The following is a 15,106-nucleotide window of genomic DNA, read 5'->3' on the forward strand; positions in this document are numbered from 1 at the left end:
AAGAATCTCTAAAATGGTTTTGAACATTAAAGTAAACTATGCTGACTGAGACTGAAGGGGATGAGATATATTTTAAAGATGAAAGTTATACTGAAATACACAAATGCTATTAGGCATGCAAATCTGAATGTAGTCCAGAAACTTGAAAATGTCTAAGTTAATCAGTAAAAAACAAAGCATTCAAAAATAAATTTTTTAAATCAATAATTACAATCTAAGCTTTAATATACTCCCCTATTAGGCTGGTAAAAGAGTTGAGTTACAGCAGAATATATGACTTATCCTGAATAAATGCAAAAATGCTTCCTCTTTTAGCCTGCTATGTTCTAAAATCTTGAGAAGTCTACTAACCAAAGTAGTATTAAAGTAAAAAAAAAAATTTTTTTTTTTGAGATGGAGTCTTGCTCTGTTGCCCAGACTGGAGCGCACTGGCGTGATCTCGGCTCACTGCAAGCTCCACCTCCTGTATTCACACCATTCTCTCACCTCAGCCTCCCGAGTAGCTAGGACTACAGGCGCCCGCCACCACGCCCAGCTAATTTTTTGTATTTTTAGTAGAGACGGGGTTTCATCGTGTTAGCCAGGATGGTCTAGATCTCCTGACCTCGTGATCCACCCGCCTCAGCCTCCCAAAGTGCTGGGATTACAGGCATGAGCCACCGCACCCAGCCTAAACTAAAAATTTTTTAAAATTTAAGAAAATGTATACTTCTTAAACAAAAGACTATTTTTCTGCTACCAAAGCTGAATTAAAAGAATGCTTATCCAAGTATAAACAATATTAAGAAAAAGAAAAGCAGTAACTATTACCGATGGAAAAATATGAGACTAGTGTGGAGGATAGCAATGCTTTCCAGACCAGGGACCCCAAAGTAGTCCAAAGGCTCTCGGAGCTTGTCTAGACCTTGACGGGATTTTTAGCTCTTCTTAAAAACCAGTTGAATAGCTTCAATAATTGGGGAAGAAATGTCTTAAAAATGAGATCAACAGAAACCTAAATTAATTTTTATTCTGATCAGAGAGCACACATGCACTAGCTCGCTTTCGCACTCTCTCTCTCTCTCTCTCTCTGTTAAATTGCCTATCCACATACTCGGGAAATTATGTCCTGTTTTAAATATCTCATTGGTGAGCAACAGACAGGAGGAGCCCCAAATGTCAGACACTTGTCTGGCACACACACATAGAGAAGCTGGCTCCGGCAGGAGCTCAAGCTGTGAGACTCAGCTAATTCCTATGTGGGTGAGAAAATGAGGGCACTTGGCCACCACTCTCTACAGAAGCCATTGAAATGGTGGAACCTTCTGAGACTTTGCTATAGGTATGGCCATTATGCTAGCACCAGGCTGTGGGTTTTCTTTCTTTCTTGTTCTTACCAGAAGAAACAATAAGCAAACAACTTGCTAGCCTTTGAGAACATGAGTAAGGGAAATGCCAATTCCTGGCTCCATGTTATTGGCATGTTTCCTTCCCTTTCCCAGTGTCAATCTTGCTACAGAATCATAGATTGGAAAGGGCTTTAGAAATCCCATAGCCCTATTGTTTCATGTTACAGATGGAGAAACTGAGACCTATAGGGTATAAGTGACCAGGCTAAGGTTTTACAGTTAGAAATAGAGTGAGAACCTTTATTTTCTCTTTAACCTCCTTTGGCTAGCATTTTTGAAGTCCTTTATATCTTGGCCTGGTCACTCGCTGTCCTTTCTCCTTTTATCATCTTTCACTGTATCTGTCTCCTCTTACCAACTAACACACTATTATTTTGAGGACAGCTGTCTCACTCTATTAGTTTTCCTAAGCTCAACTCCTATTACCCAATACCTCATTTTTGCCTAAACAGGAATTACCAAGAACCTTCAGAAATCTTGACCAAGCACTCTAAAGCAAAGGCAAGCAGTACTAGCTGGGTATTACTGCTTCTAATAAAAGTGAGAAAGGAGAATCCAGGAATTAAAAGTCAACAACAGCAGGCATCTGTGATTGTGCAAACACAGTGTTTATGGACTACAGATTTAACCCTAAGGTACTTAGCCAGAGGCCAGTACATAGCCAGGACTAAGAAGGGAGCCTTCTGAATCAAAACCACACTCAAATTACATAGTTAGTGGAACAAGGTTATAAATTTGTCCAAGAGGACAGTCAGATGAGTAGAAATTGTAAGATAATAATAGACTATCGGAAATGGTAAGAATAACCATACAGTCACGCACCACATAACATTTCTGTCAACAACAAACCACATCCCATAACAAAATGGAGCTCAAAAATTCCTATAGCCCAGTGACATCATAACCAACTAAACATCTTGACACAATGCATTACCTTTTCTACGTTTAGATATGTTCAGATACACAAATACTTATCTCTGAGTTACAAGTGCCTACAGTATTCAGTCCAATAACATGCTACGCAGGTTTATAGACGAGAACAATATGCTATACTATATAGCATAGGCGTGTAGCAGGCTATACCATCTAGGTGTGTGTTGGGTACACTCTATGATGTTCACACAATGATGAAATCACCTAACTACGTAATTCTCAGAACATATCCATATCATTAAGTAATGTATGACTGCATAACCTGACCATCCAAATCACATTTCCTAAACTTTTCCCAAAAGTTCCTTTTAAATCTGTGTCAAATTCACTGGCGAAAGGAAGCAGAGGAGGTGGCTAAGCTGAGAGTCAGTCTAATTGATATGTTGGGGCTAATTATCTACAAAAATAACGCAAAGGGGGTCATATAACTAAACACTTAACGGGAGTGGGGAGAATGGTGAAATGAGTGACACAGACAAACATCTGTACAATATACAATGCTTTGGCAAAAAAGAAAAGACATATAGTATCAGGTAAATTCTCAACTGAAATATATAAGTCAAATTTCCAGTTTGAGAAAGATTAGGACTGTTTATAGATCACTCTAAAATGAGAAAAGTATTTCATTCTGATGAAAATGTTCAGGAAAAATATAGAAATAAAGGAAATTACTGAATAGCAACTTTAATAATTAAGCAGCCAACTTGAAAATGTTACTTAAACATCTTTAATATCTAATGAAAGGAAGCCACAGGTGATATATTTCCTCTATGATTTCATATTATATATTACACTAAATAATGTTCCAAGGTTACTTTACAACTCAAGATTGGGATTGACAAATCATCCCAAAATTATTTATTGCTGTAGGTACACAAGTAGTAACCTCACACATTTTTCTACCCTTAGTAAAGTAACAATTCTAAGCAACGCATTATAAAAATGTAGAATAATTCTTTGATAAACTCATCTTTACACAACTGACTAGACTATTTATTATTATTAAACTTTACTGACTACATTCAGTATAAAGTTTATAAATAGGGCTCAGACTGTTTTCAAATAATTCATGTATAACGTGAAAATAAAAATATAAGTGGGACAATGAACTGGACAATGGGAGTATAACAGATAATGACATATTACATCATTAGTTCTTAATCTAAAATCCTTTGACCAGGAGAGTTATGCAAACCTAGTAAAAGGAGCCCATTATAAGGCTGCAGAGTAAAACTAAAACATAACTTTGGGCTAGCATTCTATTAATTCAGTGTGATAAGACTGGTTATCAAATGATAATCCAAGCCTGTGATTGGCAGCTTGTCTGTGCCTTATTTTTTAAAGTGGAGGAAAAAGAATAATTATTATTTAATGAGTATAAATTGGTAAGCAAAGTCTTTCAAAACTTTTTGGGCTCATTAAAAAAGGGATGGTCAAAGGATTCTTAGGTAGCAAAAAGATTAGAATAGGTATTTTCTCAGCCTTCCCTAAAAATAAAGCCAACGCGTATTGAACACATATTGTGTCAAATACTGAGCAAAGTACGTTACATAAATTATCTCCTTTAATCCTCACAAAACCCCATAAGGCAGGGAAGATTGATCCTATTTTTCAAATGAGAAAACTGAGGTTAAGTGAAGGTAATAACTTGTCCAAAGTCACACAACTAATGAGATTATCTGAAATCTGACTCCAAAGCCTGTTATTCACCAGTATACTTATTCTATCCATCTATTTAAAGAACAAAACCTATTTATACCTATTTATTGATACTCTAAACACGTTTCCATTTTTAACTGATTTGTTTTCACTAAGAACACTCTGCATTTGATACGAAATAAAAACTACAAATATAAAGATTTTGAAGCAATACAACTTGCTATAAAGTATACTTTCAAAAATCTAGCCTGGGCAATGTAGCAAGACCCTGTCTCTACAAAAAAAAAAAAAATTGAAATGTTTTAAATTTTAAAATGATGGCAACAGCCTGTAGTCCTAGCTACTCAGGAGGCTGTGGCAGGAGGACCACGTGAGCCCAGGAGATTGAGGCTGCAGTGAGCTATGACTATGCCACTGCACTCCAGCCTGAGTGACAGAGCAAAACCCTGTTTCAAAAAAGGAAAAATCTTAGTGGCAAAAACTAACTGGTAAACTGTAGGACTATATTTTTAAAGAAAAATGCCTAACCTATTTTAGCAAGACCAGTATTTAAACATAGTGTTACTTTAATAAATGTTTTGGATTCTTTGAGGCAGTCTAACACACATGAACTACTATGCCTTGTAAGCTTACTTTATAAAAATATCACAATTAACTAATTATAGTAAAATATGGACTAGTACAGATAAATCCATTATCAAGATTAAAAAGTTTATATGCTGTAACTGTATCTTTCTAAGCTTACTTAAGGAAGGTATCACTGTTTCAGTATGTCTTTTAGAGTATATATTGCTGTGAAAAGAGTCGATGATACAAGAAGTAGCCCAAGATTGGATTCAGTATTCTCCTAAAAATCTCTCACTGAACAAATAAAATACAAAAAGCAATATAAGATCACTCCCAGTTTAAAAGTATATGGCACACAGTAGGGCTGGGAACCTAAAAGTTTTCAGATAATAAGCCAAATTAAACAATCAAACTAGCCTATTCCAACAGCATGAAGTACGGATTGCATTCGTTTCTGTTTTTGGTGTTTTGAGACAGGGTCTTGCTCTGTCACCCAGGCTAAAGTGCAGTGGCATGATCATAGCCCACTGTAACCTGAAACTCCTGGGCTAAAAAATTCTCTCACCTCAGTCTCCTGAGTAGCTTGAACTACAGGCACGCACCGGCAAGGCTGGCTAATTTTCTTTTACTTTTTTTTACAGAAATGAAATCTTGCTATGTTGCCCAGGCTGCTCTTGAACTCATAGCCTCAGGTGATCCTTCTGCCTCAGTCCCAAAGTGTTGGGATTATAAATGTGAACCAATACAACCAGCCAGAATTATCTAGATAATGTCAATACTATTTTATTATGAATTAGCCTGATAACCACTATTGCCATTTATTTTTCCAGTGGTTTTTTTAAAGATTATACAATAAAAAGCATATCACTATGCCATGTAAAAGTGTTATAAGAATGGACAATTATTGATATGTGCTAATCATATGAAATTTAAGAAGTATAAAGCCACATATCGCCAAATAGTATGATTCTCAGGGTAACCTAAGTTTTGAAATAAAGATTAAAATATCTACATAAGATAATCAACATATATGCCTATAGGACTAATGCCAGACAGTGCCAAAGATATCAATCTTTATATTGTTATATGTTGCGGTAATATGTATTAGTACACGAAGTTAGGTTCTGATGTAAAACTGCCAATTAAGATAGTATGTTAAACTCCATAAAAATAAGCCTATTATATGCTTCAATGCATATATAATTAAAAATTTTTTTCTTTAAATAAAAGTTCTAGTGAGTTCACATTCTTAGTGATAATAATCTCATGTTGCAAACAGCACAGCACCCTCTGGTGCATCTGTTATAAGAAATATAAAATTCCCACAGAAAAGGACAGAATTGTAGAGTAAAAGTGAACCTTAGAAATCAATAGGTTGATAGTTTTTTTATTTACTGCAGTACATATTTTTGAACATTAATACTTAAAAATATTATCATTTTAAAAGATCACTATAAACTTTATAGCAGTAAATGAAGTCAGGAAATGTCTTAGTTTGAAAATACTTAACCAACAAAAACAACACCTATTTCCAACATATAAAAAATGCTGTCAAAAAATTATTTCAGTAAAGGATGACAAAAGTTAACTTGTCATGTTAACCAAATTTCACTTTATTCAAATTGGCCTTGGGGTTTGACTTGGGTGTGTAAAATGTTCCTGTGTACTTTTTCTGGATTCAAAGGGAATTTACCATTATTTATAAGAATTGATAAGTGTTTTGTGAAAGAATCTGCAGGTTCTACCACTTAAAAATAGAATATTCAGAAATAAAAGTTATGTTAAATTACGAATCTTGAGTAGTTCAAAACTTTTACTTTAAAAAAAAAAAACTTTTCCTAGAAAACTCTAAAAGTAGATTTTACTAACAACAAAAGCAAAGGATGCCACCTGCTTTAGACAGCCCTTTTGTCAACCACTGGAAGTCCCAACACAATGCAGTAAAAAATGAAAGTGACACCTGTTTAAAGCAGCCATCTGTCCCTAACAAGCCAGATTTAGTCAAATCCACTTAATCTTGGATTTCCAAAATATGGGAACACTATGTATCTGTGAATAGAGAGGAATTTAAAACATACTTTGTCATGGCCACTGGGAATATATACCAAAGAGTTAAAGGCAAATTACTCAGTTATGAAAACTGTTTTTAAGGTAACTGAGCTCAAATAGAGGATTTTTAGCCAAAGGTTCAGCATTAAAACAAAATAACCAGGAGCCTCTCAAAAATGTTAAAGTTTACTTCTTCCCTATTCTCATTTCTTGTAACACATTCTCACTATGGATACTAAGAACAAAGTAATATTCCTATTACTGTTCTGGAAAAGTGTGTGTGCGTGTGTGTGTGTGTGTGTGTGTGTGTGTGTGTAACTTTTGCCACACATCTGCTGCTATGCCCACCCATTTAAACACAAACACACACACACACACAGACTTTAAAATCTGAAAACCAAAAATCATTATATTCTGCCTGCTAATTTCTTCAGCTGGAGAATACCAACACAATATCAACTTTCTCAAGAAATGAAAAATGTTACCAAAAAGTAACATACATTATCATTTAAACGACGCATAAAATCCAACTTGCCTTTAAGATTCATTCATTTTTTAATTGCTATTGTTAATGGTAAAAAAATTAACCATAATAAATTGTTTAGGGTAAAATAAACTGTTCCAGGTTAAAGCACAGTAAGCTTATAAACTATAACCTTTTATTTGAGTACCAAAGCAGAGTACAAGACTATTTGAGTACTGGAGGAATAATACAAAAAAAACTAACCATCACTACAACCTTTAATGAAAACATTGTGAAACGATGCAAAACTTCTAGAAATTCATTAGTTTGCCATATATGTGTATATGTATGATGCCTACACCATTTAATACAATTCATAGGCAAAACACACCAAAACGACTGAGTTAGGCATTATGACATACATTGAATCACAGACATTTGACTATTCAAAACAAGTTACAAGTGACTTCTATTTAATAGTTTTAGTTTCAAAGCATGATCACTTTTACAAATTTCTATTAGTATAAAAACTGAAAACACAAGAGAGTATCAATACATAACATAGTCCCTTCTAGGAAAAATATTAAGAAAGAATAAAGTAAATGCTAAGTATCTATCCTTGTGTTTAATTTTTAAATTTACCATTTCTCAGTGTTTCTGATTATTTAATCAATTCCACAGCAGCTCTAATAGCAATTTTATCCCACATATATGCTTCAAAAAATGGAAAAGTAATGAAATTCAATTTAAGTTCTGCTCTCAAATCAACTTGTGAATGAAAATCTAAATCACAGAAAACCTGAGCTATACATGAGTGAAATGCCTCAAAAAAAGTTCTCAGACACTGTAAATAAAATATTAAACCATAACATTATAGTATATAATTTACTTAACTGAAAACCTATTATGTAAATGGCATAAGGTCTGAAACTGTCCCAAGACAGCAAAACTCCTATTAACTTCAGAGAGAGTTTATAGGACCCAGGAGCTTCACCATCCAAAAGTGTTCAGGCATTTGACACTCATCTGAACAGAAAAAAAAATACAAGTTAGTATTAGAGATTTGCATGGAACCCAGTTTGGGGAGAGGAGGAATAATTATAAACAAATCTGAGTGCTCTGAGAAAGACTTCTTTCAGAACAAAATATCGTCTTCATTTAAAATAGCAATCACAAGGAAATGAATTGAAAAAGTTTTTTTAAAATCCCAACTCTTATTTTACAAAATATTAGCCTTAATAGCATTATAATTACCCACCCTGCTCGTTGACAATCTCAAGAATAATTAGTACTGTCACATTATTCACAAGCTGCTGTGTCAGTTAAATCAATATATGTTTGCTGTTAGAAAGAAGACTATTTGAATAAGCATTTTAAAACTGTAAATTTAAAACTTCAATATGTGCAACTACAATAGTACATTATATTTGTTTTAGCACACATTCATTATCAAAACTCTACTGATAAATCTATTAACTAAAAGTTAAGCTGAAAAAAATGAACAAATTTAGGGGATCTGTAAAACTGGGTTAACGTTAACCAAGAACCTACTATATAAGGACTAATAAGTATTCAAATCTACAGAGAAAAATAATTTTTAAAAGAAATACTTAAAAAGGAAAAAGTTCTCTCTCCTGAGCAGGTTCAAGTCACTGTCCAAAGAAAATCAAAAAGTAAATAAAAAGAATATGTTAAGTACACACATGCCTAGATCTTAACCAGAAAGAAAGTGAAATATACACACGTTTCAAGTTGAGAACCTTCATACATTCTTTATGAACTTGACTTGAATTTCAACTCTCAAAGGAAAATGAGGAGATTAAAAAAAAAAAAACTCTTAAAGTACCATAACTGTCACAAATAACACTGTGAACTGAGTTCTCACAAAGCTTCCTTGTGTCCCTTCCCTGTTCATCACAAAGTCTCATAATCACAATGAAAATTGTTAACACTCTACTGCGGGGAAGGAGGATCATCAAAGTGAAACGGAACCTCACTACTCCCCCTCCCACCTCCACATGAAGGATAAAGCACTGTCAATAACTACTAACCCAAGTATCACAGATGCCCTGCATCCGGTTTAAATCACAAGCACACACACACACACACACACACACACACACACACACACACACACACACACCAAAGAAGAGAGAGGAGACAGACTTTAAAAAAGAAAAACATCTTTCCCAGTACAGCAAAGAGGGCCCAACGAACAGGCCCCAGGTTTCAATATGTGTGCAAGGGGTGTGTGGGGGGGGGGAGAAAGAGGGGGAGGGAAGAGTGCTGAATGGATGTTAAGACTGTTTGCCGCACAAAGAAAATACAGTTTTAAAAAGAAAAAAGAAAACCATGAAGCTGATGATGGTGAAAGAAGAGCAGCCCATTCAGCACCAGGCAAAGAGGGGCAAAAATGAAGGGAATGGGCGGTGGGAAAAGTTCACCAACGTATGAGGATTAAAAATAACAAAACCCATAACAAGGCCCCACAAGTGAACAACAACAACAACAAAACACCACCTCTTGGGTCCCCCCCTTGCACACTGTTGTCTATTTCGGCTTTGAAAGAAGCAGGAAACAGCAGCGTTGGAAAAGAAGAAAATTAAAGAAAGAACAAATTCTTATCTCTTCACCTGACCCTCCTCCTCAGACCAGACCTAAGGGAAAGATCCAGCATCCGCATCGGAAAACTGTGGCTCCCTCTCCCGCTCGGCTCGCAGCCCCCCAAGCTCCCGCTCCATCCCTGAAGTGCGGCCGGCGCAGGGCCGGGGCCGGCGGGCGGCGCGGCGCCCACACCCCCGACCCAGCCGCGGCGCGCAGGGTCCATTGTAAACAAGCCCGGGGAACAGAGCCCCTCGGCGGCGGCGCCGCAGCGGCAGCCCCCGTGTCAGGAGTGAGACCCCAGCACAGCCACACTCGGCTCGCACACACGAACACACACACGCACGGACACACGCGTTCACACGCAGCCACACGCTCCCACACACATGTAGAGACCGAAGAATATTCACCTTGGCTGTGGATTATTGTGGTGTTGTTGGTGGGTGATGGAGATGGTGGTGGTGGGGAGGAGGAGGAGGAAGAGGAGGAGGAGGAGGAGAGGAGTAGTTGTTGTTGATGGGTAACAGTCGCCAGGACTACGGTGACTATGGCGCTTGATTCACAAGGCAACGGTTGCTATAACTCACAAAAGAGAGAGAGAGAGGGAGAGAGAGAGAGAGCGAGAGGGAGAGGGAGACACTCGCACGGGGAGGGGTGGGGGAGGGAAGAGGGGAGGAGGCGGGCCCGGCCAAGCCGCCGGAAGGGGAGGGCGCAGCGCTGTGACTGACGGCCCCCAAACCCGGGTGGGGTGGCGGGGCGGCGGGGTGACGGGGCACGAGGCCGGGATTCCACCGCAGGACTCCGAAGAGGTGCGCCTATGCTTGGCTGGGGCTGAGGTCACCAAGAGTCCTCTCGGAGGGACGTTACTACACGCGCTGGCGAGGCCCAGGAGTCGTGGTGCGAGGGGTACTATCTGTGAAACGAGGGCTGCCTGTCCCAGCAGCCAGCTTTGTACAGAGACGTCCCGGAGCCACGAGAGAGTAACGGCTAACCCGGGGGAGGGGGTGGCGAGGGTGATTCCAGGCACTTTGTGAAGAAACGAGCTATGGCGAGGGAAGAATCCACTTTGAAGAGCGGCCCCCGCCCTGCCCGATACGTTACTTCCGGGGCGGGGCGGGCAGAGGGGCCCGGATGTGCCGCCGCTTTTTAGTTTCTGAGGCGCCGGCGGTGTTCCTGGTAGCGTCAGCCTCCTGGCTTTTCCTTTTCCTGGACGCTTCAGGGCTCCGCGGCCTGCGCTAGACTGGAGGGTCCGCGTCACTCTCGCCCTCCTGCTTTCCGCGCTCTCACCCGCTCCCGCCTCCTGAGGGCACGACTTGTGGAGGAGCGCGGGCGGCGGGGCGTGAGCGAGCTGCCTCTGCCGCCATCTTAGAGAAGGCGAGCGTGGGGTGTGCGTGGGCGCGAGTCGGCCTCCCGCGGTGCCGCCGCAGCGTGGCGCGGAGAGGTGAGGTCCAAGCGTGTCCGGCCCTCACTCCATAACGAAAAAGCGAGGTCATCACTCCCTATCTACAAGGGATGGGAGTAAGTGCCTGTAGAGAGCAAGAAATTGCCCTGCCCGGAGGCTGAGAAAGCGCATTTGGCGGTTCCCCTCGACGGAAGGCGTAGAGGGGCGGGGTAGCTTACACCTGCCTGCGATACCATCCTGTTAGTTTCTAGTTCTGTTAGTTTCAGCCCTTAAGTGCTCACCCCTCTTTAAAGACCGAACTGGGAGTTGAGCTCAAGCCCGGATCCTGTTACCTGCCGTGCTCTCATCCCCCGTTACTCAGCCTACTGTAGCTGAGGGTCTTGCTGTTTGTGGCTGTATTGAGATAGACGAATGGCTTCCGTCTGTGTTGAATGTTGTTAACACAACCTGCCATCTCAAACACCCGTTGATAAGGCACAGCCTGTAATGCCTCATGGTTCAAACAGACTCCTCCAATTCTCTGCAGACTCGAGTCCAGCAGGCACATGCCCCCAGGCCCTGCCAATACCCAAAATCTCCCAACATTTGCCGCTAAGCTGCTTAACCAGGACAATGACATAGTAGAAGTAGAGCCTTAGGAAGTCAGTTCTCCTCTTGAGGCTTAATTTTTGCACCTGCAAGTAAGGGATTTGGGCCGGCATGCGTTCACCAGCGCTAAAATAATACTGAGCTCATTCTGTGTCCCAGAACTGGTGCTAAGTGTTTTACATACATTATCTCATGTAATCCCAACAACACCAGTGTTAGGTAATATTCGCATTTGAGGAAAAACAGGCCGAGAGTCCTAAAAGTCGGTGGTTTTAGTTTATGGCTGCGTGCCATAGAATACAAGGTTACCTTGTTTTAGGAACCAGCTACTTTGGGTACGTTTTTAAAAGTAATATTGTTGCCTTTGATAATCTCATGAGTTAGAGATGTTCTTACAATAATAATGTGTTGCAGTAGTGAACAGTGGTGAGCCTAGTGCTAAAGCTAAAAGGTTTCCTGACCCACTGTGGTAGTAAGGGCTTCTAGTCAGACAAATGATTGTGTGGTGACCAGTGTGGGTCCCATTTGACATACAGATGGGAAATGAGGTATACGTTCCAGCTTTATGAAAACTGGTAGTCGTTATGAATATTCTCTTTATTATATTTACTGATAAAGTCCTCATTCCTATAATGGTGTGTAGGGCTGTATGTTCACACTACATGGCTCTCTGAATAGCTTTGTTTTTTTAAATTCCATTGTCTGTTATAGTTTGCCTGTCCCGTCTTTCATTGTCAGCTGTTGCTTTTTATTTTTGTCAGTGAACATAGTTCTATTATCCTTACCGCCCTTTTAATTTATTGCTCTTAATCTGCAGGCAAGAAAACCACATAGTGAACCTTGTGCAAAACTGTATCTCAAGAGTATAAATAGGTACTTCGAGGGACTATTAAAAAATAAGTGCAACCCTTGTGCTAGGACATTATAGAATCAGTTTTAAGCTGCTTAAATTTTTTTTTTTTTTTTTTTTTTTTTTTTTTGCCTTACAGATTTGGTCTTTTCCAGAGTTAGGAATAGATAAATTTCCTGAAGTTAATTCTTGAAAATTTAGAATTTAGAATATTTTCCCATGTTTTAGGATACTTGATGATGATACAATTCTAACCATATTGAGGTTAATATTTGAAATGTTAGTGTTACTGCCTGATAGGGTTTGGCTTTGTGTCCCCACCCAACTCTCATGTGAAATCGTAATCCGAAAGTGTTGAAGGAGGGGCCCTGTGGGAGATGATTGGATCCTGGGGGCAGTTTCTGATGGTTTAGCACCATCCCACTAGTGCTGTTTCAAGAGTGACTTCTCACGAGATCTGCTTGTTTAAAAATATTTACCACTACCCCTCTCTCACCTGCCACAATGTGAAGAAAGTCCTTGTACCCTTCGCCTTCCGCCATAATGGTAAGTTTCCGTGAGACCTCCCAGTCATGCTTCCTGTTAAGCCTGCAGAACTGTGAGTCAGTTAAACCTCTTTTCTTCATAAATTACCCAGTCTCCGGCAGTTCTTTATAGCAGTGTGAAAAGGTACAAATACACCACCACACTGAATCAGATGACCAAGATACCAGTTCAAGCTATAGAATCGAAAATACGGATTTTATATGCATGTATTGTTTAATACTGTAATTAGTTACAAAAGAACCCAGAAACCTTTTAACCCATAGTTATTGCTTGTAGGATTTTTTTTAGCCATTTTTTAAAGCTGCATAGATGCATCTTCACATATGTTGCATGTATGTTTCAGAAATAAATTATTTGCTAAGAAGTCACAGAAAAGACCCAGTATTGGACCACTCTAACAGTTATCACCTATTATAGTGCAAAACACACTGTGTGATCAATAAAAAAAGGTACATAACCAAGCTAAAATTGGGCAGACATAGTTCCTGAATGTAAAATGTTCAACATTATCTATTAATTTAGAATGTTGTGTTTTAACTTGGATTGTTTTTTTCTCTCCGATCAGAATGATTGGAAGAGACATGGAATAACACATTTGTATCTGAACTACTTGAAGAAAAATCTGAAGCCCTGATGATATATATAGATTGTGTATTTCATAAGTTACTTTAACACATTCGTAGTGGTAGATTTCTGTATTATCTATTAGAGTGTTTTTGCCTATTCATATCTACTCCATATTCAAGGACTAATAAGTTATTTCATTATTATACTTTAAAAAAGAAAGGATGCATATGAAAAGATAAAATAGTGCTATGTGATAGGCTTGCTTCTGAAAAATAGTATGAGAGTTTGAAAAGTAATGTATGCTGTGGCACCTTATTGTTGAATTTGTGGTGAATCTTTTTATGAGAGAAATCACACCTGTTTTAAATTTTTTCATTTGATTATATCCTATTTTCTTCAATTGAGAGAGAGATGTAGAGTCTTGGGTTCTCTTATATAAAATGAATGGTTTCATTTGTACCAATATTTATTGAGCACTTATGTGGAATACTGGATAATTTTATTACTCGATTGCTAATTCCCTTTACTAGATCTGAAATTCTGTGGATATGTGATAATTATTTAAAAATGATAAGAGAGTGATAGGGGCCAAGGTAATTCAAAACTGAACATAATTTGCCACTATTCTCTGGAGCACCCTCAAGCCTCCCTATCCCCACCTAAAGTATGATTTGGTTTTGAAAACAGTGCAATAATTTTTTCTGGTAGATTTGTCTTTCTGTGTTTTCTTTAAGTAATACAAACCAGCTGATTACTCGGCAGTTCTGAAGAGTGTGTGTGGCTATGTGTACACACGTTTGTGTGCATGTGTATGTCTTGGAATTACATTTTTACTCCAGCACAGAAAGATGATTATAGAATCATAAGTTGACTACCTTTGCTTAACACCAAATTACCTTTTGATGTACACATGCAGCTTTAAAAAAAAAAGTCTGGGGCCGGGCGTGGTGGCTCACGCCTTTAATCTCAACACTTTGGGAGGCCGAGCGGGTGGATCACCTGACATCGGGAGTTCGAGACCAGCCTGACCAACATGGAGTTACCCCATCTCTACTAAAAATACAAAATTAGCTGGGTGTGGTGGCACATACCTGTAATCCCAGCTACTTGGGAAGCTGAGGCAGGAGAATCGCTTGAACCTGGGAGGCAGAGGTTGCGGTGGGCCGAGATCGCACCATTGCACTCCACCCTGGGCAACAAGAGCAAAACTCGGTCTCAAAAAAAAAAAAATAGTCTGGAAACAATTCAAATGTATATCAATAGGAGGATGGGAAGACAAATTGTGGGCCCAGCACAATGACTTAACACCTGTAATCCCAACACTCTGGGAGGCCAAGCCATGAGGATCACTGGAGGCCAGGAGTTTGAGACTAGCCTGAGCAACATAGCGAGACTCTGTCTTTACAAAAAAAAATTAAAACTTAGCTGAGCATGTTGGCACATGCCTGGAGTCCCAGCTACTTGGGAGGCTGAGGCAAGAGAATTGCATGAAT

The 15,106-nt window shown here is 39.1% G+C and overlaps 1 protein-coding gene and 1 long non-coding RNA gene across 26 annotated transcripts in view, besides 5 other annotated features; one reads left to right on the forward strand and one right to left on the reverse strand.

Annotated features, from left to right (window-relative positions):
- Positions 1-10,325, reverse strand: part of RFX3 (regulatory factor X3) — a 307,705-nt gene extending 297,380 nt beyond the window's left edge. For 11 of the 25 annotated variants that reach the window (XM_047423701.1, XM_047423699.1, NM_001282116.2 and 8 more), the window contains exon 1: positions 10,071-10,325. Coding sequence is in view for 3 of the 25 variants with exons in the window: in XM_047423697.1 (XP_047279653.1) it covers positions 8,804-8,825 (22 nt within the window). In the remaining 22 variants the exon portion in view is untranslated. Of the gene's footprint in view, positions 1-7,953 lie in introns of all 25 variants that reach the window. The other 14 variants (XM_047423694.1, XM_024447634.2, XM_047423692.1 and 11 more) reach the window with 5 other exon arrangements.
- Positions 9,466-10,082: an enhancer, noted in NCBI's record as "H3K27ac hESC enhancer chr9:3525142-3525758 (GRCh37/hg19 assembly coordinates)". NCBI's record gives its function as "activates a minimal SCP1, AML or CMV promoter by ChIP-STARR-seq in primed H9 embryonic stem cells {active_cell/tissue: H9 hESC(primed)}" and the evidence as "EXISTENCE:reporter gene assay evidence [ECO:0000049][PMID:30033119]".
- Positions 9,770-9,859: a silencer, noted in NCBI's record as "silent region_19739". NCBI's record gives its function as "represses an Ori minimal core promoter by ATAC-STARR-seq in GM12878 lymphoblastoid cells {active_cell/tissue: GM12878}" and the evidence as "EXISTENCE:reporter gene assay evidence [ECO:0000049][PMID:35858748]".
- Positions 10,290-10,479: a silencer, noted in NCBI's record as "silent region_19740". NCBI's record gives its function as "represses an Ori minimal core promoter by ATAC-STARR-seq in GM12878 lymphoblastoid cells {active_cell/tissue: GM12878}" and the evidence as "EXISTENCE:reporter gene assay evidence [ECO:0000049][PMID:35858748]".
- Positions 10,660-10,709: an enhancer, noted in NCBI's record as "active region_28141". NCBI's record gives its function as "activates an Ori minimal core promoter by ATAC-STARR-seq in GM12878 lymphoblastoid cells {active_cell/tissue: GM12878}" and the evidence as "EXISTENCE:reporter gene assay evidence [ECO:0000049][PMID:35858748]".
- The window catches only part of LOC124902110 (uncharacterized), a 112,958-nt gene continuing 108,660 nt past the window's right edge, over positions 10,809-15,106 (forward strand). The window contains exon 1 of the long non-coding RNA XR_007061398.1: positions 10,809-11,101. This is a non-coding gene — a long non-coding RNA (uncharacterized LOC124902110). The remainder of the gene's footprint in view (positions 11,102-15,106) is intronic.
- Positions 10,970-11,269: an enhancer, noted in NCBI's record as "active region_28142". NCBI's record gives its function as "activates an Ori minimal core promoter by ATAC-STARR-seq in GM12878 lymphoblastoid cells {active_cell/tissue: GM12878}" and the evidence as "EXISTENCE:reporter gene assay evidence [ECO:0000049][PMID:35858748]".

Source organism: Homo sapiens, chromosome 9 (genome assembly GCF_000001405.40).
Source record: "Homo sapiens chromosome 9, GRCh38.p14 Primary Assembly".
Lineage (NCBI taxonomy): Eukaryota > Metazoa > Chordata > Mammalia > Primates > Hominidae > Homo > Homo sapiens.